The sequence below is a fragment of the Homo sapiens genome, chromosome 7 (assembly GCF_000001405.40).
Source record: "Homo sapiens chromosome 7, GRCh38.p14 Primary Assembly".
NCBI lineage: Eukaryota > Metazoa > Chordata > Mammalia > Primates > Hominidae > Homo > Homo sapiens.
In genome coordinates, this window is record NC_000007.14 from 46,203,835 (window position 1) to 46,207,853 (window position 4,019).

Consider the following 4,019-nt stretch of genomic DNA (forward strand, 5'->3'; position numbering starts at 1 on the left):
CATATGCATTTGTTTTACAAGTTTGGTTTATTCTTCTTTCTCCCAAATGAATTCATCTTCTGCTGACCTTCCTACTGTCCTTTACCAATCACAGAAAAGTAGGCCCTAGTTTCTTCTTCCTATAATCTCCACACATACACAGGCACACATATATACATAGCACACACACACATCCACACACACACACATCCACACACACACACATACGCCCAGGCCACAGCCCTCCTTCTGGCTCTTTCTTAACAGCCATGCTCCATAGACAGGAGCTCAATTTCCTTCGTGCAGCCCCCACTGCCCCTCTGAAATGCCCAGCGGAGTGTGGCTCCGGTCCTGCTTAGCTGAGCTGGCAGTGGAAGCCTCCAGGCCACAAAAGGCTGGGAGTCTCCAGGGCCAGAACCCAGGGCGGTGCAGCTGCTCTCCTTTTCCCTGTCTTTCACGTTCTCAGCCACATCTTTTTATTTAAAAAAGAAAACTTCCACGAATCATAGAGCTATCTTCTTGAACTTTGAAATTAGAACATTTAAACACTTATTCTCCATTCATTTAATCATGTTAGGGAAATCCAGTTGCCTCCCTCACCCACCCCTCGTTCGTATGTCCCACAGCCATCGCCCACCCAAAGGCCTCTCTCCATGTTGTGATCTTGTTCCATCCCCTCCCTAAGCCCTGAAATTCCTGCTGTGTCATTAGAATTTACCATTTATCTAGGAAGAGGCCAAATGAAATCACAGGTTGCTCAACCCTGTGCAGCTGATGAGCCGTACTTTCCTGGTAGACACCTGAGCACGTGGAGTTCTGCGGGGCTTTTGCGCCGCCCTCCTCTCATGACAGTGGAGATAATGCCTTTACATATCTCCAGGAATTGGCATAGCATGAAACTGCCTGGAGGAATGTGTTCTAAATTAAATGATTTCTAGTCATGTCTTCAAAGAGAGAGACAGAGAAAAATGATGCAGAACCATGTTCCTACATCTTCTACTTTACAGAGCCTTTAATGAGCACCTGATACACGCCAGGCCTTTTGCTAAGAGTCTAAGAGGTGGGGCAAGAAAAAATGATATTTAGATGAATTTGTGTTTGAGGCCTTCAAGAAGTTTATGGTAAAGCAGGAATGTTGGTCATATATACACATTAGGAAAATGGAATGCAGTTGTTAAAATAATGAATTGGGAAGCCATTAGGCTGAGGTGGGTTCCTACTGAAGCAAACAGAAACCCAACTCGATGCAAACAGCAAAATGAAACTTCAGGTTAATCAATCAGAAACCACCTACTCACCTCCAAGTCGGAATTTTCCACTTGAACCAATCAACTATTTTCTTTGTCTCTCTTCTGAAATACCTTAATAAACGTTCCCCAAGCACTTCTTGGCTGAAGCAGTGAAGCACTTGAGGTCTGATGCTGCTTGATTCATGAATCTCTGAATGCTCAAAGAAATTATTAAAATGTTGGCATACCTAAGTTTACCTTTTAATACAGTGAATGACTTAAAAATGGTGCGCAATGACAGGGAAGGACAAGATGAGGCTGAAACACCTGAGTCAAGTATGTTACTGTCCCTGCCTTTCTGTCTCACTCAAAGGCCCTCAGAATGGCCCCAAGCTGGTGTATCACCCCACCCACCCCTGCCCCACATGGCTCCTCTGTGACCTGAGCTCCTTCCCTCCACTCTGCCTTCTGGATTTCCCATTTGCTGTTCCCTCCACCTGGACACGTCACCACCTGTTCATGTGCCCCATGGCTCAGAGTCCTCTGTCACAGCACGCAGCTCTGAGCACCTGCACCCAAACCTTCTGGTCTCTACCCTGCTAGTTTTTCTCTACAGCATGATTCTCTGAAACGTGTGTGTTTACTGTTCTATTTACCATCCCCTGTCCCCACTGGAATGCAGGTGCCCCACCCAAGGGCAGGCCTTCCCTGCAATCTGGGTGTGTTATCAGGAAACTCATGATGCGTGCCCACGCAGTCACAACTTCTCCAGGACCTTGCACCTAATTTGGTATGCATAATTTTGTGTCTTTTTCCTAAAATCAGCTCCTCAGCCTCAAGTGATGTCTTCGGTCTCACAAAAGCTCTCTACTTTGCCCATATCCCCGTCAGTGGCTGGCATAGAGAGGTGCTTACTAAATAAGTGGATGAGTGAAAGACTGAGTGGTTGAGTCTAGGAAGGCTTCTCAGAGCCGGCGATATCTGAGCAGCAAGCTGTGAACAAAGGCAGAGAGGCTGGAACAAGATGCCCTGCACAGGGACCCACCAAGCTGGGAGGGGAGAAGTGGCCAGAGCCCCAGGGGGAACATGAGAGGTGGGAAGAGCATTTGCACAGGCAGGACCAGCATGGTGGGAGAAGGGAGGGTAGTGTGGTGTGGTGTTCTCATCACCCCTGAGGGAGAAAGCAGTGACTTCATCCAGGCTTTTTTGACTCCCTCCTTTTCCCAGTGTTCCAGGGCTCAGCATAGCCCTGAGAAAGGGTTTTCAGTGGTCCCTGGGTAACCCCCATGTCACATTCACCCTCACACCACCCTGATCACAGACTGCCCCATCCGGGAGACATTCTGGCCTGCAGCATGCTTGGTCTCCATTAGAAACAGAGGCCTGGACTGCTGAAGTTCCGCACTGTCTCCTCATTTGAACGTCGAGGCCCTTTGAGAATGGTTCTTTGGTGTCTTTGAAGTCATTTTTCCTGGTGCCTTTGTGCAGCCATCTCAACCAGGCTTGGGAATTCCCCTTAACCCTAAATGCTTTTCTCCCCACCTTCCTGCTTTCTTTATTTGTTTCTTCAACCTGCTTCCTTGGAAACTGTGGGTAGGGTGCCAGCATGTACATTACCACTGCTATTGATAGGCGCCGAGCCTGTTACAACCTAAATAATGCTCCTCCTCCAAACACTGTGAAAGCTTAAACCCAATTGCTGGCCTCTCCAGGATGCTCTTTAAGAAAGGTGAGTCTTGCTCTTGGCTGAGTGCAAAGGATGATTATTTGGGGTCAAAGAAGCTCATGTCTAATTTCTCATCAGCTGCACAACTGTGGGAAATCCCCTGAAACTCTCCCAGCACCACTATCTCATCGAGAATGTGAGGACAAACACAAGGCCCATCATGCACGTTGTTGGGTGAGACAAGAGACAGTGGCAATGAAAGCTGCAAACTACAGAAAAACATGAACTTATAAAAAGGCAGTGATTATGTTAGAAAATGGCAAATGTATAATTAAAATCAAGCACAGGTTTCTCAACCCATTTCCTAGTGGATGAAAACTTCAAGCAACCACAAGCCTAGCACTGGCATTAAATTACTGTAAAATTCAGTTTGCACCAAAGGGAAGCCTAGAGACATTCTTGTCCCACTAGCTCATTTAACAGTTGGGGAAACTGAGGCTCAATGAAGCTGAGGGTCAGAACGGCTCTTTCGATTGGACACCCCACCTCCTCAGTGAGACTACCTGAAGATGGAGCAGGAAGTGCCTGGTAAGACCTTGATTCAGGTCATTTACTCAAGGAGGGCTAATTTCGTGAATCACGATAGGGCAGGGATGAGTGGGCAAGATGGACCCTCAAGAAGCCTTTGGCTCATAGAACCAACCCTTGTTGGAAGTTTCACCTGCACTGCCGCGGGGAGGGGGAGGAGACCAGCAGCCCCAGACCTCAGTGGCCCTGCACCCTTCTTCATAGTTCACACCTTTGGAGTTGGGCACCAGGGTGCCTTCCACCCTCAGCATGCGATGTTGTCACATTTTTCTCCTCTGTTTCTGGTTCTCAGACAGCAGCACTGGTCTCTCCAAACCTGTCATCACCTACTTGTATCCACGGATTGAGGAGAGATGAGACTAGTCTTCCAACAGAAGACTCCCAAACACCATTTTAGGAAGGAAGATGATGTCACCTGCCCATCACCTAGGAATTCTTTTAAAAACCTTATGAGGCAGGCGCTATGATTAGCCCCATTTTACAGATAAGAAAATTGAGGTTCAATAACTTGCCTGAAGTCACACAGTGAGCAAATGACAGAGATTTAAACATACATT

The 4,019-nt window shown here is 47.4% G+C and overlaps 1 annotated feature.

Moving 5' to 3' along the window:
- Positions 2,520-3,719: an enhancer, noted in NCBI's record as "BRD4-independent group 4 enhancer chr7:46245952-46247151 (GRCh37/hg19 assembly coordinates)". NCBI's record gives its function as "activates an origin of replication core promoter dependent on BRD2, P300/CBP, MED14 and CDK7 cofactors, and independent of BRD4, by STARR-seq in HCT116 cells {active_cell/tissue: HCT116}" and the evidence as "EXISTENCE:reporter gene assay evidence [ECO:0000049][PMID:35650434]".